This window comes from Homo sapiens, chromosome 11 (assembly GCF_000001405.40).
Source record: "Homo sapiens chromosome 11, GRCh38.p14 Primary Assembly".
NCBI classification, from domain to species: Eukaryota; Metazoa; Chordata; class Mammalia; order Primates; family Hominidae; genus Homo; species Homo sapiens.
In genome coordinates this window covers 7,484,972-7,511,551 of record NC_000011.10, presented here as the reverse complement: position 1 = coordinate 7,511,551, position 26,580 = coordinate 7,484,972, and the positions used below count along the sequence as shown (strand labels likewise).

At 42.4% G+C, this 26,580-nt stretch overlaps 2 protein-coding genes across 6 annotated transcripts in view, besides 2 other annotated features; one reads left to right on the top strand and one right to left on the bottom strand.

The window, feature by feature from the left end:
* The window catches only part of LOC124902806 (leucine-rich repeat extensin-like protein 5), a 30,521-nt gene extending 26,988 nt beyond the window's left edge, over window positions 1-3,533 (top strand). Inside the window, exon 4 of the mRNA XM_047428005.1 lies at window positions 3,369-3,533. The gene's annotated coding sequence lies outside the window, so the exon portion shown is untranslated. The remainder of the gene's footprint in view (window positions 1-3,368) is intronic.
* On the bottom strand, window positions 175-26,046 carry OLFML1 (olfactomedin like 1). 5 transcript variants are annotated; one of them, NM_001370498.1, is made up of 4 exons: window positions 25,916-26,046; window positions 25,548-25,677; window positions 23,137-23,425; window positions 175-2,154 (listed from the first exon to the last, which is right to left on the bottom strand). In NM_001370498.1, exons 2-4 carry the CDS (start codon window positions 25,674-25,676, stop codon window positions 1,364-1,366), a joined length of 1,209 nt encoding a protein of 402 aa, NP_001357427.1. In that variant the 5' UTR covers window position 25,677; window positions 25,916-26,046; the 3' UTR covers window positions 175-1,363. The 5 variants fall into 5 exon arrangements, with proteins under 5 accessions (NP_001357427.1, NP_940876.2, NP_001357428.1 ...); NM_198474.4 differs by having other exon boundaries at window positions 25,548-26,046; NM_001370499.1 differs by lacking the exon at window positions 25,916-26,046 and having other exon boundaries at window positions 23,402-23,425; window positions 25,548-25,786.
* Window positions 14,977-15,076: an enhancer, noted in NCBI's record as "active region_4364". NCBI's record gives its function as "activates an Ori minimal core promoter by ATAC-STARR-seq in GM12878 lymphoblastoid cells {active_cell/tissue: GM12878}" and the evidence as "EXISTENCE:reporter gene assay evidence [ECO:0000049][PMID:35858748]".
* Window positions 25,865-26,369: an enhancer, noted in NCBI's record as "H3K27ac-H3K4me1 hESC enhancer chr11:7506414-7506918 (GRCh37/hg19 assembly coordinates)". NCBI's record gives its function as "activates a minimal SCP1, AML or CMV promoter by ChIP-STARR-seq in naive H9 embryonic stem cells {active_cell/tissue: H9 hESC(naive)}" and the evidence as "EXISTENCE:reporter gene assay evidence [ECO:0000049][PMID:30033119]".

Sequence of the window (26,580 nt, the reverse complement as noted above, 5' to 3'; positions counted from 1 at the left end):
GAGGAAGCCCCTGTCAAGAGGCATGCTGCCCTCGGTGCCACAGGGCATGCCTGCTGTGGCAGAGTCGCTTGCCTGCTGTATGGCTTCTGTCCAGATTCCAGAATATTTACCAGGGCCTCAGTGTGTTGGGAATCATTCACAGTAAACCTAACACAAGCAGCACTCCCAGAAAGCTTTTGTGCTTAGGGTATGTGGGCAAATATAACCTGATGAGGTTATTTGCTCAGTGTCACTTTTATTGAATTTAAAGCAGAAAGAGAGAAACAGAGGACAGCAAGACAAGAGGAGGCTAGAGTTGGGGTCCTCACCCTTAGACTGGTTTTCTGGAGGAATTATCATTTGAAAGGCCTATTGAAAGGTCTTGTGCAGACATGAAAACTGGCTAAAGGGACAGACTATTATTTTTAGGCTGAAACGATGAACGCATTGACTATAAGAGTAGGTGAACAAACATACGTATTTGATGCTTCCTTGGGCAATGGAAAAACTATGGGATTTGTAGTATTTTCTAGCTGTATCTTTCACTTTGTAATTGTGTTACTCACCTAAACTCTAGAATGACAGCTGTAAAGACTTGTGCATGTTTCACAAAGGTGAAACGAGAATTAAATGATGTGCAAACACTCCACACCTGGAAAGCGATATTCAAATGTTAATATTTTCACTTTATTATTACATCTACCAAGCTTAGTGGAAGGACAGGGCTAGGGGAAATAGAGGTTAAACCTCAATAAGAAATAGTATTTTAAGCCAGGTGTGGTGGCACATGCCTGTAATCCCAGGTACTTAGGAGGCTGAGGCAGGAGGATCTCTTGAGCTCTGGAGTTTGAGACCAGCCTGGGCAACATAGTGAGACCTTGTCTCAAAAAAAAGAAAAGAAAAGAAAGAAATATTAATAGTATTTTAGTTGGGCAGTGAAAATGGGAGAATATCAATAGACATTTGAAAAAGAGGGAAGAGCTTCAGCAAAGGCCAGGGGAGAGAAAAGCCAGTGGTGAATATTAGGGGCTGGCATACAACTCTAATTGTGGGAGGGAAGATGGCAGAGTTACAGTAAATGCTGGGGAGCAGTAAAACAAAAGGCTTGAAGTAGGCTGTATCAGAATGTGGTCATCCTTGAGAGCCAGGAGGTTTGGGGGAGTAATGGACATTGTTGAAACTTTCCTGATGATATGCTCTCATCTAAGCTCTTGGAAGATACCTAAGGCAGTGACATTTGGGAAAGGAGGCATACGTATTTCCACTTCTACACACTCTTCCTGTGTGTGATTAGAGGGATACTATATTGTGAAGGGGCTATAGCCTCACTGTCCTGTAGAACAGCTGCCAAAGCCACAGTGCTCTTTCTCACAGCTGTAATGCATTACTTCAGAGGCAGCTTTCTCTTTGTCTGGAGTTTGTAAATGATCTGGTTTCCTTCATTCCAGGCATAGAGCTGCTTATCTCTGGGGTTGTAATGGATCATGGAGTGACTTCTTGGTCTCTTGGGGAAGAACAAGTTGGGCAAGTCCTCCTCACTGATAGTGCCCAGTGGATCATAGATGCAGGTGATGCGATGAGGGCCCTGGCCCCCAGTACTGTAGACCACATAGAGAACCCCACACAAGAGGAATGAGGCTTCAGCATCCTGGCTTCTGCATGGGGTATCCCATGAATGCTCCACTCCCAGTGTGCCCGGCTCAATCTTTGTGAGAACCAAATGGCTATGGGTGCCTGGCCCAGAGTGGATGGCCCAGAGCCCATGCTCATCCACAGCCAGGTCAATGTAAGTTGAGGGGGAGTGCTGGTAAACCAATGCTCGGCCTACCCCTCCTGGGAGCAGCATTCGATCTTCCACAGTCCTCTTCTGCAGGTTATATTTGATTATCTCATTAGAAGTTGCTTGGTTATGAAAAAATAGAAAACCTTTGTAGATCACTTGGCCTGTTCCCTGCCAGGAAAGTGTTAGGATTTGCTTCCGGGGAGCTGGCTTGGTGTTATCCTCCATGAATGCCCGTATGTTTGCAAATTCCCAAACAGTGTTGTTTCTGGATCCAATTAATAAGTACACCTTTGGAGAGTTATAGACAGCATCTTTCATCCAAGAGCCATGTGTGTCCATCATCTTCTTCACTATTTTCAAAGACTTTATGCCCATCAGCATGTTGTCACAGCCTGGCCAAACAGGAGAAAAAGGAGAGATTACTTTATAAACATGAGCTGTCTGCTTTCTGGAAGGCTCCCCATGCTTGGTAAATCTTGTTTCCTTTCAGGTCTAATACTGATGGGGAATATTTTCAGTTCTACTGTGACATGACCGTCCTTAGAAGAAGGGTTTCCCTTGGAAAATCCTAGAGCGAAAATGCAACATAGGCATGCATTTTGTTTCCTTAAGAAAAAGGGCATTTAAATCCCAGCAAGAAGCCAAGCCCATTCTTTCACCTCCTTATTTTCACAGATTGTTTTCTCCTTAGTGTCTATAATAGTTATTGGATATAGATCAATTGCAATTCATGGTATGACTCAACGAATGAAAGAATAAATAAATAGTCTCTGTTAAGAGACTTGCTATCCAGTTCTAAGAGGCAGCATTTTACTCACTTCAGGATATTAACAGCTATTTGCTGTTTCAGAGACCGTGTTCACTCTCTAGAGCACTTGGGATTGACACAGTGAGAATGACTTAGGTGTGAAGACACTAATTCAATTCCATTTACCAAGATTTTATTGTACTGTGTACTTAGGTTACAATGTTTCCAGAATGGTGCTAAGTATTGAGGATAAAAAATATAATATCAACCCTAAACCTCGAGATTATCTTCTAGTGAAGGATTCTGACCCTTAACACGACTGCAACGTTATAAGAGCTCTATTTATTTATTCATGAATGTATGAATGCATTTAGTTAGCAGACACTGGATACCTACAAGGAGCAAGATAATGAGCGAAGTATTATGAGCTGGGGTTATGAGCATAAATTGGGCATGGTTCTTTCTTATTAGGTACAGGACTAACTAGAATATAGGGAGTAAAGTGGAATTTTAAGAAGAATAGGGAAAGGAAATGTCCTTTGATGCAGGGAAGAATCTGTATTTGATTTGGTCCTTGAAGGATAAATGGAGTTGAATATTCAGAGGAGTGGAGAAGCATTCCAGACAGCAAACAAAACCACTTTCAGGAAAGTACTCTAAGATTAGGTAAAGAAGTGTAGAGTTTAGACCAATACAAGCTAATGTTTGATATTGCTTCAAACTAGATATATAAAGCAAAGTACAGTTGACCTTTGAACATGAGCTTTAACTGTGCCGGTCTTATTAAAATGTGGATTCTCTTCTGCCTCTGCCACCCCTGAGATAGCAAGGCCAACCCCTTCTTTTCCTCCTTCTCAGCCTACTCATTGTGAAGAGGATGATGCGGATGAAGACCTTTATGATGATCCACTTCCACTTAATGAACCGTATATCTATTTTCTTTTCCTTATGATTTTCTTAATGACATTTTCTTTTCCTAGCTTACTTTATTTTAAGAACAAAGCCACAGGGCTCTTTCTTCCAGCTGTAATGCATTACTTCAGAGGCAGCTTTCTCTTTGTCTGGATTTGTAAATAAGAAAGGACCAGATAACATTCACAATATGTGTTAATTGATGTTTAAGTTATCAGTCAGTCTTCTGGTCAACAGCAGACTATCAGTAATTAAGTTTTGGAGGAGTTAAAAGTTACACATAGGCTGGGCGTGGTGGCTCACACCTGTAATCCCAGCACTTTGGGTGGCCAAGGCAGGTGTATCACAAGGTCAGGAGATCGAGACCATCCTAGCCAACATGGTGAAACCCTGTCTCTGCTAAAAATACAAAAATTAGCTGGGTGTGGTAGCACATGCCGGTAGTCCCAGCTACCCGGCAAGCTGAGGCAGGAGAATCACTTGAACCCAGGAGGCGGACATTGCAGTGAGCCAAGATCATGCCACTGCACTCCAGCCTGGCAACAGAACGAGACTCCATCTCAAAAAAAAAAAAAAAGTTACACATAAATTTTCAACGCACAAGGGTCAGCAACCTTAGCAACTGTATTATCCAAGGGTCAATTGTAGTAGATTGAAGCCATCTCTATGCCTGGAACCTTAAGGGCCAGGCTAAGAAATTTGGATTTTATTCCACAGAGAGATACTGAAGTTTGCGAGCAGGAGTGAAGTAAAGGCTGTCAAGACTGTTCTACAAGGTCAAGCTAGAAGTCCTGTGTATGATGGACACTTAGAGTGAGACCAAAATCAGGGAAATCAATTAGTAGAATATTTCTTTAATCCAAATGGGATGATAAAGGATCTAAACTGGAAGAAAGGAGAAAAATGAAGTAAAACGAAGGAGTTACAGTTTTCTAGCTCCTTAGTGCCACTTCAGGCTACTATTCTTCCCACCTACAGCAAAAACTCTTCCTTTTTAGTATTCATGCTTTGTGTCTCGTGCTGTCAACTCCTCCCAGTCTAAATCATTGGCAATTCTCCAGGACACTACCCTATATGCATGGAGCATGCCCACCTCTTCAATTCCATGGAAACTTACTTTTAAACCATATTAGTATCCTCCTCCAGGGGTTATACTCTGAATCTCCCATTCCCCACAACTATTCCGTATCTGAAATCGAAAACTCCAATATCCCACTCACCACAGTTATTCTTCCATTGCTCACTCCTTTGCTCATGCCTTCCAGTCCCTTGGCCTCTACTTTCTCCCAGGTCATCAGCCCTCTCTTCATCTTGCTTTCTTTCCTATGCAGCCTAAACCACTGTAATAGCTCTCTCACCAGCATTCTCACCCATCAACCCCTAGTTATGCCACCATATCCACCCAACACAAGTCCCTGGCCTAGGATGAGTTCAAACATCTGCCTTGTCCCGGAGTTGAGTGTTGATGGAGGAGAAAATCTCACAGTGGTGTATGTTGGTGCCACTACACATAAGGGGTCTCCGATGTCAGCTGAGCCCTAAATACCATACTGGTCTTCATGGTTAGCCCACCATCTTCACACAATAGCTATCTTATATCTTCCCCACACTGCCCCACACACCCCGCCCTGGCCAGTCCCTTCACCAACAGCAGATTAACTCCTTTGAAAAAACAAATACCATTAGACATGAACTCTTTTCACTTCCTCTCCTCACTTATAAACTTTTCTTTAGTTGTTCCCCTGTCGCTACCCTCACACACATCTTAGAAGAAACTGTGTCATTTCTCCTGTCCAAGACTAATATATTCACTTGTACTGTGATCTCATCCTTTCCTGGCTTCTTCTAGACTTCCTTGATGAATTATCCCTTTTCTGTTATCTTTAATTTCTCCTTTGTTACTAGATTCTTAGCTTATAAGCATCTAGCCTATATTAAAACAACAACAACAATTCACCTTCAACTAGGCACCTTTTTCTAGTTGCTTCATTTCTCTTTCCATCATTTTATAGCCAGCTTCTCCTACAGAGTAGGCTATACTCTGTATCTACATCTTCACCTCCCATTCTTTTACTTCACCATAACTCCATAGAAATTATTCTTTATAATGTTACCAGGAACCTTATAACTGAAAACTCAAATAGACCTTTTGTGTCCATATTTTACTTGATCTTTCTGGAGCATGGTCAGTTCTTCCTCCTTGAAGATTGATATGAATCAGGATAAGATCAGCTCTACTGGTCATTTCAAGATAAGTCGGTCATCAGTTCTAATTTTGGACATTTTTTTTAAGACAGGTGAGACAGGTTTTTACTCTATTAGACAGGCTAGAGTGCAGTGGCATGATCGTGGCTCACTGTAGCCTCAACTTCCCGAGCTCAAGCAATCCCCCCACCTTCTCCTCCTGAGTAGCTGGTACTAAAGATGCATACCACCAGGTCCAGCTAATTTTGTTTATTTTTTGCAATGATGAGGTCTACTATGTTGCCCAGGCTAGTCTCAAACTCTAGGACTCAAGTGGTCCTACTGCCTTGGCCTCCCAAAGTGCTAGGATTATAGGCATGAGACACCACTCCAATCCAGTTGTGGACTTCTTGTTGGGACTGCCTTGTCAGGCCATCCGTTGTGAGATGAGTAGTGTCATGGAAGCAGGGAGTGGTGGTCTTGCTAGGAGCATGAGGAAACTTGCAGGTCTACCTCAAATCCTGCTGAGGTTTCTATTATGGGTAGGAAAGAGTAGTCTTAATAAGAGCATAGGAATGCTGGGCCTCCCTCATTGACTTCTGGGTGTGAGGTAGTGGAATGATAGTTAGATAGAGTCTTTAAAGGACAACTGAGCACTCTGAGGAGCTCCTTCAAATCCTTTGAAAGGGTTTGGTATAAGAAGCTGGATGTGGACCAGGCACCGTGGCTCACACCTGTAAGCCCAGCACTGTGGAAGGCCAAGGCAGACAAATCACTTGATCTCAGGAGTTCAAGACCAGCCTGGGCAACAGAGTGAGACCCCATCTCTAAAAAAAAAAAAAATACAATAATTAGCTAGGTGTGGGGGCGTGTACCTGTAGTCCCAGCTACTCAGGAGGCTGAGGTAGGAGGGTCACATGCACTCAGGAGGTGGAGATTGCAGTGAGCTCAGATTGTGCCACTGCTTTCCAGCCTGAGTGAGAGAGCCAGACCCTGTCTAAAAAAAAAAAAAAAATGCTGGATGTGTCAGCAGCAGGTTGTCATTTTCCTAATCAGTGCTTGGGTTCTTAAAGCCCACTGAAGGTCAACTGGAGTCAGAGGACAAGAAACAGGATGAAGGAAAGAAGACTGGACAGGAGGAAGAGAGATGCATAGTGAGATGGGTTCCAGAGGTTCGGAGGTAAGCAAGCATGTTAGCAAACTGTTTGCTATATGCCAGCTGTGTGGGCAGCAGTCCTATCATGCTTTCCATATGACTATCACACTTTCTCATCTCCCTGCAAGCCTCTGTCATACCCTCGCATGGAGATCTTCCCACTTACTCCGTGAGAAAGTAGAAGCAATCCTAGGAGAACTACATCATCTCCTGCCTGGACTACTGTAGCAGTCTCCTACATGGTGTTCATGCCTCCATACTTGCCTCCCATAGTCCAATTCCCACAGCAGCCAAAGGCGTGCTTTTAAAATGTAAGTCACATCATGTCCTGTGTCTGCTTGAAACCCTCCATTGGCTTCTCATTTCACTCAGAGTGAAATGGATAAAGCTCAGGCCTTTACCTCCAAAGCCACATATAAGCTGTTCTCCTACTGCTTCTCTCTTTGTTCTCCCTCTCCTTGTCCCCTACAACTTCTCCACCTTGTTCGTTTTGTTCTATCACACTGACTTCTGCTATTTCTCAGATTGTACCAAACACACTCCTGCCTTGGGGACTTGGCACTTTTCGTTCCCTCTGCTTGGAAACAAATATCTACATGACTTCCTCCCTTGCTGCCTTTATGCCTGTTCTCAAATGGTCCTTGGTCATTTAGACCTTTTCCCGTCACCCTATAAAAAAGGCAACCCTCTTCTCCAGCTCTCCAGGGACTCCTTTACCCTAGATCATTTTTCTCCATAGTGCTTATTATCTTTTGTCTGACATACATTTGTTATTAGCATATTATTGCTTAATTCCCCTCAATAAAATATAAACTCCATGAGGGTATAAGCTTTGTCTTATCTGTTTCATTCACTACTGTATGCCTTGTTCCTAGAATAGCATCTGGCACATAGTAGTTCCATATTTTCTGAATGAATAATGAATTTTCAACAACCAAATCCATCAACAAACTGCTCCCAACCCTACATTCTCTGCCATCCTTCCCGTGTCCTTTACTTTTGCAGTGGACCTCTTCCCCTTTCACCTACTCAAGAACTTATCACCTGAAATTATCTTCCCTTTCCTACCTCAGTAGTCTCTTCCTCCCTATTGGATCATTCAGTAAATCATCCATCCTGGAAAAACCTACTAGCAGGGCCCCATTTCTCTCTTCCACTTTATATTAAAACTCCTTGAAAGAGGCATTTCCTCACTTCCAGTGATCCTCTAAGCCATTCTAATCAGACTTCAGTTCTCCACTGGTCTAAACTCCACTGCCCATTTTTCTGAATCAGTTTCTGTCAAGGTCACCGGCAGCCTCCATGTTGGCAAATCCAAGGGTCAATTCTCAGGATTCATCCTTATCAACTTTACAGCCAAATTTGATTATTTGATCAGTACTTTCCCTCAAAACTCTTTCTCTTCTTGATTCTGGGATATCCCCCTCACGTTTGTCCTCCCATCTTTCTGGATTGTTTTTTCTTGGTGTCCATTGCCAGTTTCTCCTCATCTCCCTCTTTTAAATACTCTTATCCTCAGGCCTCCTCTTTTCTTTGTCTACAATCACTTTCTGAATCATCCCATTCTATCTCTGAGACCATGGAAGTTCTAAATAATGATGACTACCAACTTTGTATCTTCAGCCCCTATCTGGATATCTACTTAGTCCCAAACCCATTTATCTACCTGCTTACTCAATGTCCCTACTTGGATGTCTTCAAACTTAACCTGTCCAAAGCAGAACTCTTACTTTTACCCTCCAAACTCTCTTTCTGCCTACTTTTCCCATTTCAGGCAAGATCCATAAACCAAGTTTCTTACTTAGAAATCCTTCTTTCTTTCTATTCTCCAACACCAGCAAATCCTGATAGTATAACTTCTCTTTAAATTATAATGTTACATAAGGCCAGGAGCAGTGGCTCACGCCTATAATCCTAGCACTTTGGGAGGCCAAGGTGGGCAGATCACCTAAGGTCAGGGGTTCAAGACCAGCCTGGCCAACATGGTGAAACCCCATCTCTACTTAAAATACAAAAATTAGCCAGGCATGGTGGTGCATTCCTGTAATCGCAGCTACTTGGGAGGCTAAGGCAGGAGAATTGCTTGAATCTGGGAGGCAGAGGTTGCAGTAAGCCGAGATCGCGCCACTGCACTCCATCCTGGATACAGAGCGAGACTCTGTCCCAGAAAAAAAAAAAGCAAAAAAAAGAAAAAGAAAAATTATAATGTTACATGAAAATGCTCAAATATACATCTCACTTTCAACCTACTACCTCTTTTTTCCCTGGAATCCATTCATCATCACTTTTTGCCCAGACCACTGCAATAGTCTCTACTTTGTCTCCCTGATTTTTTCTTACTTACCTATAGTTAGTATGTTCTCCATAAAGCGGTATGAGTGATCTGTTTGAAAACATAAATTATGTGACTAGCCTGGCTAAACCCTTTCTATCATATTTAAAATAAAATCCTAAACCCTTGGCCTAAGGAATCTACATAATGTGGCCCCTGCCTTTCTCTGTGACTTTCCCTGCTACCTTTCTCCCCTTCCTCACTGTGTTGTGATTACATTGGTTGTCTTCAGATCCTGCCAGGATGTCAAGTGTGTTTCTGCCTCGGGGCTCTTGCACTTGTAATTTTCTGCCTGGAGTGCTCTTTTTCTTGATCTTCCCACAGTTAGCTCCTATTTAGCCTTCAAGTCTCACTTTCAATATTATGTCTTGAAGAGGCTTCCTGTGACCACACTATGTAAATATGTCCACCCGAAAATTATCTACTCTAGCCCTTTTCTTATTTCCTTGAGATCACTTATCATATTCTTAATTATTTCATCTGTTTTATTTACTAGCTCATCGTCCTTCTCTCCCGCTCCTAGGCTTCTAGTCTCTACTCCTTCAACTTCATGGATAGTGTTGTGTCCCAATGCCTAACTCAGTGAGTTGGGGGTTCATAAATATCTGTTGAATGAATTAAAAAAATAGTCTCATTTAAGCAGATATTTTTCTAAAGTCTAAATATTACTGCACTTCCAGAGTTCTGACTGCAGGCCTATCTTAAGTAAATAATAACTTGTAAAGTACTTTAAAGCTTTTAAGATACTTTCAAACCCATTATTCCATTAAAAAATCTGACCCAAGGTTTTCATGAAGGGAACACATGGCAGAAGTGGGGGTGGGAGCAACCCTAGCTGGGAAGAGCTGAGTCTCAGCAAGTCAGTCCTTTCAGTGGTCATGACATCACTGGCTGCTCCCAGGGACACAGTGGCCTTACCTGTCTCACACTGTGGCCAGAGCCAGACTTGGAGGCAAGCTGTAGAAGTCTCTCAGCCATCAGCTGCCCCCATGCTCCCCTGCTGACATGCTTCATCAGCCTGAGGGGTTGCTTTCCTGTGGCCTCTGGGTCAACATTGTTCTGGGTCAGCCTCGGTTATAGGAAGCGAAAGCCCTGGGGAATGTGGAGAAGTCTGGGACAACAGGGAACCTTATGCATTGCAGGAGCCGCTAACAGAAGGACCCCCTGCCATACTGAGCTACTGGGGGCCATAGGCTGCAGTGTAGGATGGGGAATGATCTGCCCTGTTTGCCAGGGCCACCCCTCCACCTGAGCCCGAGAGACCTTTCTTCAGTTTCCCAAGCCTAACCTGTCTCTTGTGAAGCCTCTGCTCTTCCCTGGTTCTATGCTGATCATAGAGGACGAGTAAGGGTTTAAGCCTGTGAGTGACCATAGAGGACTTTTATGGGGTAAGAGGGAAGGTCCATTGGCTGTGAGAAAAGGCCAGAAGCTATTTCTATTAAGGAACAAGCACAAGGGCTAGAGAAGTTAATAAATATCTGACAGATACATCTGACATATAGTATGCTTCATACTGGGCTAGGCACTTTACATTAACTCATATAATTCTTTTTTTAAGTTTTTTTAAAATTTTTTATTTTATTATTTTAGAGACAGAGTCTTGCTCCATTCACCAGGCTGGTCTCAAACTCCTGGCCTCAACCAATCCTCCTGGCCTTGGCCTCCCAAAGTGCTGTTATTACAGGCGTGAGCTACCATGCCCAGCCCCGTATAATTCTTTTTAAAAAAAAAAAAACCTTCTTAAACATTTTATTTTTAATTGATAAATAATTATATATATTGGTGGGGGATACTATGATATTTTAATATATTTCTAAAATGTAGAACTCATAATAAGTTTAAGTGGTAGATATTTTAATCCCCATTTTCCAAATGAGGAAACATTAAGGCTTGTATAAGTTACTTGGAAAGGTCACACAGCCATAAAGCGTGGGGATGGGGTCCTCTGAGCTCAGTCTGAGCTGGGAGGCAGCCAGTCAGGACCCCTCCAGCCAGCCCCAAGGGCATGGTGACGTGTATGTATGTGTGTGGCGGGAAAGAATGAAGAGGATCTGGGTGTGCAGAAGGGTGGATGAGGGCAATGGGCTCTCTGGGACCTAGTCACAGACTATGGGACTTGACTAGGAAGCCCCCAGCCTGCCCATCCTTCTTGCCTGAAGAAAAGCCAGCAGGCTTGCAGCCCAGCTACAGAGGGACTATGTCTAAGAGCAAGGCATATTAATGTCTCATCCGTAAGAAAATGTTCATTTAAAATACAGCAGAAATGGCTGGGCACAGCGGCTCATGCCTGTAATCCCAGCACTTTGGAAGGCTGAGGTGGGAGGATCCCTTGAGCCCAGGAGTTCAAGACCAATGTGCGCAACATAGTGAGACCTCGTCTCCACAAAAAATACAAAAATTAGTTGGGCTTGGTGGCACATCCCCTGCAGTCCCAGCTACGTGGGAGGCTGAGGTTGGGAGGATCACTTGAGCCTGGGAGGTTGAGGCTATAGTAAGCTGAGAGTGCATCGCTATACTCTAGCCTGGGCAACAGAGGGAGACCCTGTCTCAAAACAAACAACAACAACAAAGCAAAACAAAACAAAACAATAAATCAGTCAATAAAATAAAATACAGCAGAAACCAACACAGACATGCTTCTTTCTCCCTCTACTCTTCTTTTCTAATGCAGAACCCTTGGAGAAATAACACAAGAGTGGATATATGGTTTTGGTCAGGGAAACATAGTTCTGGAAAAAAAGAAACAGAATTCCCCCCATGTTCCTTCTGCTTCTCCTATTCCTTCCTTTGTAGATGAAACCCAGCACTTGGAGTCAGAGATGTGAGTGGTCTAAACTCAGCCTTTGGCTCTATGTGTCTCCCCAAAAGTCCCTTTGTCAACCCAACCTTGTTTTTCCCAGCTGTAAAACAAGAGGTTTAGGTTGGATGCTCTCTACATAGTTTTCAGGGCTGATACTCTGTAAGTTTTATAAATTCCTTTTCTTTTGGAGTTTGAGGATAATATATTTACAGTGTTCAAGTAAAAGGGTAAGTTAAAACTCCCTGCTGTGCTTCTCTTGAGAAGAGATAATTAGCAGGAAGAAAAGGTTGAGGAAGGATGGGAAATAAATTTAAAACCTTTGGGTCCAGCCAAGATGCAAATTTTTTTAACAGAGGCAATGACATGCAAGGTTTCCCTGGCAAACCAGAGAATGAGAATCTGGGTTTCCCCCTCAGGCAGAATTGCAGACAAGCAATTAGGATAGAATTTGGCGCAAGGCCTCACAGTAAATTCATACACAAGTATCACTTATTTGAATCTTTTCATATAACTTGTAAATTCATACATAAGTATCACTTAATTGAATCTTTTAAATACTTTTCCCCTGATTTAATAGCAACACTCTCCAAATCTGGTGAGACTTATTCCTTTGTATGGGAGTCACTCAATCTGAGTTAAGGATCCGAAACATTGGTCTGGCTGCTGGTGGAGAATGGCTTGGGGATGGGGAAGGACAGAGGGAAACCAGGTAATGAGTTTGTAAGTATGATCCAGATGAGAGCTATCCAAATAGTGATGGATATAAGCAGCTAGAAAAGGAGAAGTCACGTCTTAATAACTGATTCAATTGAGGGAACCAGCTGATACCAAATCAGACTCAAAAATGGGGTGATAGGGTACATGAGATAGCAGCAGAGAAGGAAAAGCAGGTTGGCTTGGGAAGAGTGATGAATTCATTAAAGAGAAGAGAATTATCTTAAAACCCTGAGTATTTTGACTGCTTCCTGAAATGGTGTTATAAAACTTGACTTTTTCAACCATCTGGATTGTATTCATGTTCATAAACATTTATCAATACTAATCAGATGATAGGTAGGACGGTAGGCACTGAGATGACAAAGATGATGGCTCTCAGACTTGTAGTCAGTTATAAAATATCATGCTATTATTATAAAATTGTCAGCATGGACTTATTCTAAAAATTAGGGGTATTTCATGATACTGCCCATGGAATAAGTTTCCGATATCTCAGCATAGCATGCAGAGTGCTTGATCAACTTCCTCTCTTGTCGCTTCCTCATCACACTAGTCACTAGTCACCAAACCTGCCATGGCTTCCCGCAAGTTTTAGACTTTGCTCAGACTTCCTTAGCTCTCCTTTGCTAACTCGGGATACACCTGCTCATTATTCAAAACAAAATCCTCTGCTCCTGCAGAGCAGTTAGATGGTCATTCTCATCTGCCTAAAGCATTCTGTGCAACCCCTTCTAGGGCAGTTATTATGCTGAACTAGAATTGATTATTCACTTTGTTTCCTTGCAAGCACTTTAGACTCTATTTATCCTAAGTGCCTGGGACACAGTATATATCGCCCTCACTAGTCAACTTACTGCTTACTCTCCAAACTCAGAAACCAATTAGATTCAGATTGTGCAGAATTTGTCAGTTTCCAAACTTGCTATCCCAATTCATACTGTGTCAACCTAGAAATCAAATAGATTAGCAGGTGATATTTTGCTGAGTGCTTCAGTGGATGGGTAGCAGGAAAACAGGAACTGTATAAAATTCAGTGAGCCATGGGGCAATTTGGCATTGCAGAAGGGCTATGAACCCAGGGTTAGGGCTTAAACAGGGCCCGGCATACAATAAGTGCTTTATATGTTGGTTTTAGTGAATTACACATAATCCTTTATTAAATCCGTATCATAGGTTTTTCTAGCTTTCCAGCACTAAATTCAGAGTATTCCATGGCACCCTGTCCTGAACCCTAACAACTTTATTGATAATAGCAATAAATTATGAAAAAGAAACAGACTTGACACATGGCTTTTCACGTGCATAGATGTATGTTGCCCAAAGACATCAAGTTGAGAACTTCAGTGGAGGGTGTGGAAGCTGGGAAGATGTGTGAGGTATGAGTGTGAGTCCAGCCTGGCTCCACGATGGGGTCCCTACAGCTGGAGTCCAACACAGGCAACATAGACAACTTCCTTCCAGTGCCTCCTTCTGGAAGAGGCCAGGTCTCCATAATCCCTTCCCTTAGTTCATTTCCCTCTATAGTACTTATTATATTCTGTCTGCATATTATACATTTATCTGCTAACATATTTATTGTTTGGCCTCCCTCAAAAGAACGTCAGCTCTAAAAAATGAAAGAAAAATAAAAGCAGGGGCTTTGTCTTATCTGTTTTTTTTCACAGATGCATGTCTTATCCTGGAATATCATCTGGTACATATTATTACAATTTCTCCATTTTAATTATGTACATGGTAAATATCAATAGTTATAACCAACCTCAACAAAACCTATTTGGAGGCCTGAATAATTTTTATGACTGTAAAGGGTTTCTGAACCTGAAAGTTTGAGAACTGTCCTAGAGCATCCAGGCTCGTCAACACTCACGTAAAGCATGAAAATGGGCCATCCTCTGGGGAATTTATTTTTTTGAGACAGGGTCTTTCTCTATCACCCAGGCTGGAGTACAATGGCATGATCAAGGCTCACTGCAGCCTAGACCTTCCAGCTACAGTGTAGCTGGGACTACAGGCACATGCCACCATGCCCAGATAATTTTTTTTTATGTTTTATAGAGATGGTGTCTTGCTTTGTTGCCCAGGCTGCTCTGGGGAATTTCTGATCGGTTTCCACTTTCCACCAATTATCTGACTGCAACAACATTGTAACCATTCCAAGGTTATAATTACGAACTTCTCATTTTTATTTATTTCTCATTTAAAGACTGAGCTGGTTTTTTGCATAGTGTTTTTTTTTTCCTGTAATATTCCAAACTGAAAAGGATGGAAATGCTCTCAATTTCTAGCTGTGGTACTGCCATTTGCCTGTGTATAGTTAGAAAACACAAAGTCATTTTGATGTTTCCCCATGGATTCTTCCTGTGAAGTACATCTCATTTCATCCTGTTCTTTTTATCCTTTCTCAACATGTGATGGTCTAGGGCCTGCTTCCTGGACCTGAACTTTGCAGCAGACTTCTCACTGGTTCTTTGGTGATACTTCCTCAAAACTGTTAATCACACCAATGCCTGACTCACTGCTTTCATGTAGACATTTGCATATTTTAAAATCAGTCTTGATTGCTGCCTGTTTCCATGAGCATTGAGATGAAAAGCCTTATATGGGTATAACTAGAGGTCATAGTAGAGGGGTGAGCTTCAGAGCCAGACTTGGAACACCAAAGTGTTAAAGTGACCAGGCTAAGTTCCTAGGGACCTTGTGTACTTCTGCTTTCTCTCTTAGACATCTGCCTCCGTCATGAGGCCAGGCCAGGTTAGCCTCCTGCAGGAGCAGAGGCCATGCAGAGGACAACCCAGTCACCCCAGCTGAAGTCATCCTCACCCAGCTGTTCCTAGGCAACGTGCCACTGACTGCAGGTGCACAAGTGAGCCTACCCAGCCACCCTATGGACCCCTGAGAAATGATAAACGATTGTTGTTTGAACCCACTAAGTTTAGGCGTGGTTTGCTATGTAGCATTATTGTGGCAACAGATAACTGATACAGGGCAGGGTGGAGACTGTGAGTAGACACAGAGGCAGAGATGAATCTAGCATGTCTGGGGTGGTGCATACTTCTGTATGTGACAGGAATGTGAGGAGAAGAGATGGGCTGTGTGGAACTCTCTAAGCCACAGGTTCTTCATCTGAAAAGGAGCTGTAATAGTGTCGACCTAGCTTGTTGGTTGTTGTGGTCATCAGACAAGACATCAGATTTAAGGGCTGAATGCTATCTCTGGCAAATAGTTCCCTCCATTTTCAAATAAACGATTCCTTCAGGTCAGAAAAGATTGATTCTCTACTCTGTTCCAGGCACAGCATAAATGACTCAGGCATGCATGAGGTATATTTTATGTTTTCAGAATAGCAGGTGAGATGGACAGAGCACCAGACAGATAGGGATAGGCAGCAGCGGCACGAGATGCTGAGGGATACTCAAAGTTGCTGTGTTCAATTGTTGGCTTCTTATCCACTTTTATGATAAAAGTAAGCACAACACATATAGCGGATACCATATTCATAGTTTTTATTTAATTCGTGAGTATTACTTTCATACTTAAACCAAAGAGAGCTAGGCTGGCGGGGGTCAGGTTGTAAAGGACTTTCTTTATATGTTATTTTTGGGGGGGTTGCTTTACCCTACAGGTTTCAGTTGCCATGGAAGGGGATAAAGCAGTGATGTGGTAACTCTGGCAAGATTACTCTGTGGCAATATAGGATAAAGCCCTGAAACAGGGAGAAATGGGAGGCAGGAAGGTCAGCGAGGAGGCTTTCATAGGAATCAAGACTAGAGATGGTGAGAGAGCAGTGCAGGTGGAAAGAGTACACTTGAGAGAGATTCACAAGAAAAAATCTACTGGATATAGTGACCTGTCAGACGAGGGCCAAAGGGAAGATTTCTAGCCCAGGAAAGTGTGTGTGTGACTATTCTGTTAACTGAGCAAAAAGTGGGGAAAACACAGGAGTTTTATTGTTTGAAAGTCAATGAAGAAATGGCAGGGAACTAAAAAACAGGAGGGTAGGGAAAGAAAATTGGACCTTCTTGGCCAGAGTTTAAGAATCTAAAACCAGCCTGTTTGTAAGTAGGAATCATCATCAAATAGAAAACTAACATGGTCTTCATACTGTGACCCATGATAAGATCAGGAACAGCTAGAACTTCTGGGCCCAGGCACCTACTCTCAACAGAAGGCTCCTACCTCATGTGCCTCCCTGGCAGTCCTGGAGATGGCTTCACTGAGTTCAGCCTGTCTCTTCTGTGCCCCCTCAGCCTCCCCTACTGCCATTCTGCTCTGCACCCTGTGGCCAGAATGCACCTCCTCTGAGCCCCGACACTCCCATGCTTATCACTGCTCCGCAGACAGCACAATGGGAGAGGTGAGGGTGTGCAGGACCCAGCCTGTCTGGGTCAAAGTGCAGCTCTGCCATCTATTAGTTGTGTGACCTTGGACAAATAACCTATCCTTTCAGTGTCTTTGTTTTCTCATCTATAAAACGGGAGATAATATACAGTACCTATCTCACAGGGTTATCGTGAGTATTGCATGACATAGTCCAGTGAGATAGGTAAAATGCTTAAGGATTATGTGTGGTACATAATACGCATTCAGTAATATTAATTGCCATTGTTCACATTATTCTGATTCCCTACAGCTTGCAAGTGTGAACTAGTTTAACACAAAGGAGCTTAGCTCATGTCTGGTTCTTTCATCACCTCTCTACAACTTCCTCCTTCACCTGAGCTCCATTGAACAACTTGCTCCACAAACACACTGAGCCCAATTATGCCTTTGTGCTGCCACATGCTGTTTCATTTTCTTGAAATGCCTATTACTTTATTCTCCACTTAATTAGCTCTTTTCCATGATTAAAACTCAGCTTGAGGGCTACTTTCCAGATTCCATAATCCCCCCATCTACATGGCAACCCTGACCATATCTACTTAATGCCTGCCCCCTGTGCTTTTGTGACACCCTATGCATCCCTCCATCAGAGCCATCATCATTCCAGATTTGTCTGGACAGCTTCTCCCCTTGGCCATAAGCTTTTTGAGGACAAGAATGTTACCCTGTCCAACATTCTATCTCTAATGCCTGGCACAATGCCAACATATTTCTAGAATTCAGTTGGACATTTGTTGAATAAATAAATAAGTTATAGCAAGAATGAATGGATGTTCAGGGCACCTGGAGCCACAGTTAACCCTCTGTGAGAATCCGTAGTGATGGGACTGAAGGTATCCTCATAGCCCACAGACCTTTCAGATGGATAAACAAAAGAAGTGCTATGTACGTGGGCCTTTCTGAACCCAGCACAGTGACCCATGGGTATTACCTTTCCAAGGGAAAGCACAGGTTAAGCTGTACTCTACATGCGCCTCCAATGTTGCCATCCCCCTGAATACCGAAATAGCTGGGTGCACGCAGGCACACGTACACACACGTGCACACACACACCTGTACTTACACCTGCATTTATACTTTGAATCCCTTCTTTTGTGGTAAACACATCTGTTGCAAATTAGTTATACCTCTTTTAATATTTTGTTCCACTCATGACAAACTAATGGACCTTGAGAGTTGGCAAACAGATACATTTTATTTGGTTAATAGTGGGGATTTTTGTTTAGTTGTCTTGCTTTTAATGGTTTTGAATATGGGTCATGCACACTTATAAAACCTGGACAGATCCCAGAGGCTTCAAATATGCTGCAACAGACTTTCTTATTTGAAACGTGATCTAACAAAAGATATGAGTTATTTAATTCGGCAGGGTGAAGGTTACTTGAGGTAACTTTTTGTGCACCCTTGCAATAAAAGGAACTGGACGACAACAGGAAATAAAATAAAATCTGCTATAATGGCTTGTTTTGACTGCCTTGAGAATTTTTCTTTACAAACTATTTACAAGTTAAAAAGAAGTTAATACTCGTATCCATACAAGAATGCTGCCTGTGGAATCTTCCAAAGAGTATCAGTTGGATAAATCTTCCAAAGAGTATCAGACACCAAGATTAAGACACCACTTAATCTTGGTGTCTGAGGGAATGATTCTTTGTCATAAATTATCAAGTGCAATGCAAAATTTTATTTTAATAATAGTTATAGTTCCAAAGACTTGGAATAATTTTAAAATATAAGTTAGATTATATTCAAATAGTGTTCACTCCTTTGCATCCTACATTGTGTATGTGTGTAAATGAGAGAAGAAGAGAGGGAAGGAGAGTGGGAAAGTGGGAGAGACAGAGTTAAGATTCTAAGATTGTACCTACCCGCAAAACATCCCTGAGTTGAAACCCTCATGTGGACGTCATTTGGGGATAATCTCTGAATAAAGGCTGAAGATACAAGAGCAGCTCTCTAGGGAATGGCTTAGTTATAGAACAATTTTATCTTATTATTCTCAGTACTTGGCCCTTAGTAGTTGCCTGAATAATATTCCTAAAATAAGTGAGAACCATTAAGATTAGTACTAGAATTTCCTGGAAGTCTCCTGAGATACAAGGTTAAATTTTCCAAGGAAGTTGCATCATCTATTCTGTAGGGGTTTACAAACTCTCCAAGACAATGCGTACATATGAATGAAACCCTCTGATCTGACCTCTGGCAATGCCTTCCTAGCCCATAATCCCATGGTTTTTGCCCACAGAAAGGTGCTAACTTGAGTCTTCAGGATTTTAATGGAAGGTCTGTAACTGGCACAGTCTCTAGAGGCCATGGTTGGAAGACAGGAAGATCAGAGTCTTCCAGGAAGAAGGTGGGTGCAGGTAATTAGTAGCACCAGCTGAGCCTATCAGACTAAAGCATTGTGATAGGCAGATTTCTTAAACAATCCCCAGGATTTTTACCCCCTGGTGTACATGCCCAGTGTAATTCCCTTCCCTTGAGTGTGGGCAGGACCTGTGAGTGTATGACAGGACAGCACTCTGTGATTGCATTACATTGTAAGACAAAGGTGAAGGAATTTTGCATATACAGATAAGTTTCCAAATCAGTTGATTTTGAAGTTATCAATAGGAAATTATGGGTGGGCTGGCTGAATCACATAAAAGCCCTGAAAAGAGGGACTAGGCGCTTCCTAAAGAGAAGCACTCTCCATCTACTTGAAGGAGCAATAGCTGTGTTGTGCAGTGCCTATGGCAAGGAGAGGCTGTAGGAGCTGAGGGTCCCAGCCCTACAAGTACCAGCAGAGGACCCAGCTAAGCCATGCATGGACTCCTGACCCACAGAAACTCTGAGGTAGTAAATGTGTAGTTTTAAGATGCTAAATCTATGGTAATTTGTTGTATAGCATGAGAACTGATATAGGCATAGTTACTAACAGAAATGGCAAAAAAGCAGGAGTGTGCATAATATATACAATACAAAACAGTGCCTAACGGGAATAAATTGACATTCCAAAGTCTACTCCTAGATAGAGAACCTCTAAAAATAATAAATCGAGGAGACACTAATCACACCGTTGTGATTGTTTCTAGGTTTGTCTTCCCCTAAACTAAGCTCTGCAGGGGCCTCTGCCATTGTTATTTCTTCTGTAAACAATTTCTGTGGCCTTCTCCATGGGAGGACATGACCTAGGCTCTGTGAATGCAGAAAAGAAGATGTCAGTATGTTTGTGGAATGACTGAGGAGTTGAATACATACAGACTTGTGTGGTCGGATATGTGAGATGCTCCCTGGGAGGACTGAATGAATTGCTCCAGGAGCATTATAGGCCAATCTGCCTGGCAGCCCCCTCACCTCTATCCTCACCCTCATAGGTCTTCACAAAGAATTCACAGCATTTTTGAGTCATAAAGGATTGCTAGGAAAAAATATATAAATATATATTAATTATATATAATATATATTTTAATACATATATACACACATACATAAAAATATGTATATGTATATTTAAACTGCATTTGGGTAAGTTATGGGAGAAGGAGCTGGAGATCAACTTGCATCACTTTGTAAAGGGCCTTTCTTATGTAAAAGAAAGCTAGGAGATTTGAATGGATTTTTTTGTTGTTGATAATTGATGGTAAATGACGAAAATACATTCTACACAGAGGAGAATTATGATCTATTTTGTGTTGTGGAAGGTCTGCATGACAGGAGGCAGACTGTGGGAGGCAAGAGAAGTGGTAAGGAAGCTACAGCAGGATGCAGACATGTCCTACTCAGTCCTCCATCCCTGCAGTGCAGCACAGGGCCCATCCAGTAGTGGGAGGCAACAAGTATTGGCTGATTTACAAACCAACACAGCATCAAATGTGAGCTCCAGAGGCAACAGACATGGATGTAGCAATCTCTGATAGGTTCAGAAATAAGTTTTCATATACCACAGAGCTAGGAGAGGGGATATTTCAGAACTACCAGATCTGAGGGGCAGAGGATGGGGGTTGAAAAAGCAAGTCCAGTCTCAGGACCTCCACTGAGCTCTAGCTGGAATGGGAAAGGGTAGTCTCAACACCTGGTGGGCTGAGAGTATCCAGGGACCAGAAACAGCTCAGGGATCCAATTCAGCACCACTATTCAGACTTAGCGTCCTGCCTGAACCCCCAGTGTGAGAGTTCGGACACATTCTAGCTCAGGCCACATTAGCACCCAGTCCTCTCCATCAGCTTTTTAGGAAGCCCCTGTTCATCCTCTTTTGACCCATTTCCTTCCCTCACTCTGTGCTTACCGCCAGCTTCTCCCTCTTTGAGGATGATTCATCTCAGGACAATGTCAGGGCCAAAAAGGATTGCTTACTTGACCCATTGCTTCATATTATAGGCAGGGCACCCTCCTCTCTTTCTTCTGACTCAGGGATAAGATGTTTTTTGGTTCCCCGCCCCCCCCCCCACCAAAGCCTAACTAACCCCTCTGCCTGTGTTGACAATCCCTACATCTACTCATTTATTTGTTTTAATTGTTTAATTACTCACTGAAAACTATTTATTGAATAGACCCCATTCTAGGCACTGGAGACACAGCATTGAACATGAAACTGGGGTTCCAAGCTCTCATAGAGCTGACATTACAGATAGGGAGGTAGGAAATAACCTATGAGCCAATAAATGAACTAAATGGTTTCAAAATTATAAATGGTCTGAAAAAAATTATAGAGTAATAAGTGCTCCCAAACTCCTTTTGAGTTTTCCATCTCAGCATATTTCATACCAACCATTCGATGACCTAAGCCCAAAACCTGGGAAACATCCTGGACTCATCTCTCTCACTCATCATTTAGTTTTAATTAGCAGTCAGAAAGCCATGTGGATTCCAATTCTCAATGGCTCTCAAATCCACCTGTTCTCTGTCCCATGACACTTAATGCCAACACTATTACTTGTTGCCCAAATCATTGCAGCATTCCCTGACTGGTCTCCTCTCTCTAGTCTTAGCCTCTTCCTTCGTATCATGCCCTTGTTTAAAATTGCTCAATGGTTCTCTATAGTTTCTCCAGTGAGCTTCAACTTCCTTCATCTAGCATGCAAGGTCTCTCATTAACTGGGTCCTGCTGAGCTCTTCAACCTAGTTTCCCTACTGTCACCTCTCTAAAAAGCTTTCACTCAGCCATATTTGCGGGTCTACATGTCAAGGTGCTACAGTACCCTCATGCCTTTGGTATATTGTGCCCTGACTTGAAGTACCCTCTACTCATTCGTTTCTAACTTCTTTGTTCAAAACTGAGACCAAGTGTCACCTCATTTAGGAAGACCCTTTTCCTTATAGTGACCATGAAGTTCTTAGAAGGATTACATTGAGAAGGTATGTGAAACTTTTAGCACAATGATGGCACTCAGCTTATATGTCATTTCCCTGATGGAGGTTCTTGAATTGGAACAGACGTAATTAGCATGTAAATAAAGTCTTCCTATTTGCAATGAAAACATCTCAGAATACAAACCCTGAAGTGGGAGATTTGTCTCCCTCATTGTTTTAATGAAATAGACTCGGGCACAGAAAATTTTTCTTTGTCATTTGTGTGTTTATTGCCTGATACTGTTTATTATAATTTGAGCTGCTACACATTATTCTTAATGGCTTGGAAGTGATTCTGATGGATCACAAGATTAGACCACATCCCATGCATATCACCATCTCAGACAGCACACACAATAGTGATTCACTGCAGTTCCCATCCCTGAGGGTTGGCTGTTGCCATTTCCAATTTAAGACTGTTTCTTGGTACATTTGCAGATGCTATCTACAGCCTGGGTACTGGATGTAGAATCCACCAAACTGCTACTTTCCCTGAAAAAATCTGGGACCACACATCTCCACCAAACCAAGATTTATCAGGAGGTAGTCTCTTTGGGCTGACTTTTGGCACTATAGCCTTCACCATCTATGGAGGCTTTAGGCACTGTGTGTGAAAGAAAGAATGGCTTTGCGAGAATGGATTTCTCTTTGGACACCTGTTCTCTGTATAGCTTTCTCTCTCAGCAATGCACACAAAAGCACACCTCCAATTCTTACTCTCATTACTCTATGATGCTCCCTGACTGCTCTGAGTCTGTGTGTTTCTGAGCATAATAGTCCCTAGAAGGGCTAGGAAAAGATGCAGTTTTCTTACTTGCATTCAGCAGAGTCCGGATCTTTTTCTCTTCTTCAGCTTCTTGGAGCAACATTTCTGCCAGTGTCTTGTCCTCTGATTCGATGCACTCGTCAGCCTCTCGAAGGTATTGTATGTAGTCAATCTCCCGTTGGGCACGTTCAACTCTCAGTGCCAAGTTACCCACTGCACTCTTGTACTCACTTGTGTAGGTCTGACATCTTCCCAGCATGACAGATATATTTTTTGAGAACTCTTGGAATTCTTGAATGTATGCCCTCGTTGCTTGGGTACATTTTTCCAGCCCTTGCTTCAGTCAGAAAATAAATTTGCAAATTATTGCTTGTTATTTAAATTACCCAAATAATATAAATACCTATCATTTATAGAAAAGGATTAGAAAATTACACATCATCAAATAGGGGAAAAATTGAAATCTCCCATAATTCCTAAATTCAAAGGTAGTATTGATACTTGAGTATATCAGTTTTTAAAAGTTTTCCCAAGCATTTAGTCATACATATGTAAATATATATTTTTAAAATGTGATTTTACTATATGTTTTGTATCATCTTTTTCACTTGCAGATATATTGTGAACATACTTTGATACTAATTAAAGTATACCTATACCATAACTTTAATGAGAGCATTCCATTTAATTGATATCCCATTATTTATTCTGTTAGACTCTTTTTGAGGTACATTTACATAGTTTTTAATTTTTTGTCATTCAAACAATGCTGAGAAAAAAACTTTTTATTTACATCTTCATCAGATTATTAAGGGAAAAAAAAACCTTTGTATTTACATCTTCATCAGATTATTTTAAGGTAGATTTCCAGAATATCCGTCCCTAGCACTTGGCACAGGGCCAAGCACATAATACTATTCAATAAATATTTGCTGAACAAAAGAATAAATGAATGGAAATGGGATTGCTTGGTCAAAGAGAATGTCTACTTAAAGCTCATTTGGCATGGTTTATCAAAATTCTATCCACAAATGTAAAAATGTATGCTCCAAACAACAATACGTAAGGCTGTTTATTTTGAAGGGAGAAAGACAGAAAGAGAGACCCAAAATAATTCCCTAAATCCCTACCCTCTTTTTTCCTACCCCTCCGACACTGGCTTCTCAGGCTGGGAATGCTATCACTGTATTGTTAAGTGTCTGCGCTGGCCAACAGTGACTGCCACCTGCGACTTGGCTTCACCTCAGGTCAGGACTGGGGTGGGAAGATCTATACAGATCATATCCTTGTCTTTTTCAAATCCACATTCATAGCTATAAAAGGATCAGTCTGTACTTCATACCCTTGACAAGTTCTTAAGGTAGTGAAAGACAATTTGCAGGGATTTGGCTGGCTTTACTCCCAAGGCAAGTCGGTGCTAAATGCAGAGGGATCCTGACTGAGCATCATTCTGGCACTTCTAAGGAGGTGAGGCTCAGGAGGGAGCAAGTGAAGAAGCGCAAGAGGCCGCTCGTCTGGGAACACTTCATCCACTGCCTCCAGGCCCCAGCCTGTTGGCTGGACGCCCTTAGGAAATGCATTCGGCCTGCTATGTGGAATTACTTTACCCTGACTATAACTAGAAGAACATATAATTTGGACATGAAGATTTTTCAGGAAAATGTATAAAATAATTATTAGCAATAAGAGGGTCTTTGAAAGAAGATAAATAATTTATCAATTTAGCTTGTACAAAAGCAAGCCATTAAGTATGAATAATCAATGCCAGGGTGTGGCAAAGGCTAGGGTGGAGGGTTACATTTGTCCCTGGGAGCCTGTCCAGGCTGCCAAAATGTTGGGTTTTGCACATTTTAATGAGGTGGCAGCCCAAATGCATTCTTTCTGTTTAACTTGGCTGAAATCTGCTCACTTCTAAGTCTAAATCCAGTTCAGCAAAAGAAACTAAGACTTCTCAGTACATTGATATCATGACTTTTTACAGTGACCTAATGGTTTATCATAAAAGACAAAACGAAAAGCTGAAATCCATTATCAGCCTGAAACACTAAAACATGAAGAAAAAGTAACCAACATTTTTAAGTTTCATATTTTAAAAAATGAACTATGGTGAATAATAACATTTTAGATACATACCATTATGCCAGGCAGTATTTTAGCTATGGATTAAATCTTCAGGATAGCCTTACAACATAAATTCTACTATTATCCCCATTTTACAGATGAGACAAACTGCCAAATCAGAGCACAAAGTGCAACTGTGCTTAAGGTCTGGAAGTAGCACACTGGACTCTGGAGTTCGGCTCTAAACTGCCAGACTATGAGCATTTTAAAGTGTAACTTTGGCAATGTGTCATTTGCTATCTGGGAAAAATACAACCCAGTAGATAGAGAAGCATGGGTAAAAATAAGGTACTTCTGGGAAGCCTGTTACTTATCCAAGGTGTACAGATGCCACCTACCTCCAAGACTCGAAAGCGCTGGTAGATGTAATGCACCATGGCTGGGTCCTGGGTACACTGCGGCGGGGGCAGAAAAGCTGCAAGGAACAGAACCAGCAATGCAGAAGCTCCTCGAAGGGCCACCATCATCCTGCAAAACACCAAGCAGGGCAGTCTCTTATGCTGTGGCTCTTCTCAAGGATGTCTCAAGGGCTCCGGTGGTGCTCTCCTGCTCTATCCGCTGCTGTGGCAAATCCTCTAAAAACAGCGTTTTGCACAGCAGAGAGCAAAGTCCGCTTGTTATTCCACCCGATACGTGAGCTCAGTTTGCCAGCTAGTGATCAAGTCCAGCTGTTGGCAAGTTGGTCCCTGAGGCCTTGTAGACTGACCTGTGGCAGAGAGCTCCCTGGGTCCAGCATCTGTTGCCCTCACCCTTGACACATGCGGACCCTCCCCAGGCTAGTGGTTGCAAGCTGCTTCCTGGCTTAATTGTGTGTGCATTGGGGTGGGGGGTGAAGATGGCTTCCCCCCGTTCCCTTCCCCCAGCTATTTCCTTTTTACTTTTGCTTTCCTCCTCCCTAGTGGATTCTGCAGTCCAATCGCAGGCCTTCCCCAACACAAACCACCCCCAACTTTTTAAAGTTGGACTCTCAGTTTAGTTTCTGGCAAAAATTCCCAGGATCCTTTTCCAGAAGTCCTATTGGGAGACCCCACCCCTCATCCAGACTCCCTTCACATTCCTGCAGCTCTTAAAGGCACAGCCAGGAAAAATAAACATGGATCTACCACTATCTCTGAACAGCCAGTGCACAGGGCTACATCGCCCCTTGGGCAGAAAGGTACAATGGGCTACAGGCCTGGCCATCCAGGCTGTCAGCTGAAACATCTCAGGATGGAGCTGAGAATAATTTGATTAAGAGGAACAACAACAATCATTGATACAGTGATGCTTCCAGGGTCAAGCCATCAAAAAGTGAAACGCCTTTGTAAGGAAATCCTTGAGTTTTCTCAATCACTGGAGGCAGAATTCCCTTCATGTAGCTGCAGGCCAGAA

Excerpts from the sequence above, each read along its gene's own strand:
- OLFML1 (NM_198474.4), bottom strand. The coding sequence starts at position 25,676 with ATGATGGTGGCCCTTCGAGGAGCTTCTGCATTGCTGGTTCTGTTCCTT. Across the intron at positions 23,426-25,547 it reads AGCGCTTTCGAGTCTTGGAG|CAAGGGCTGGAAAAATGTAC; the intron begins GTAGGTGGCATC and ends TTCTGACTGAAG. Across the intron at positions 2,155-23,136 it reads CCGGACTCTGCTGAATGCAA|GCTGTGACAACATGCTGATG; the intron begins GTAAGAAAACTG and ends CTGTTTGGCCAG.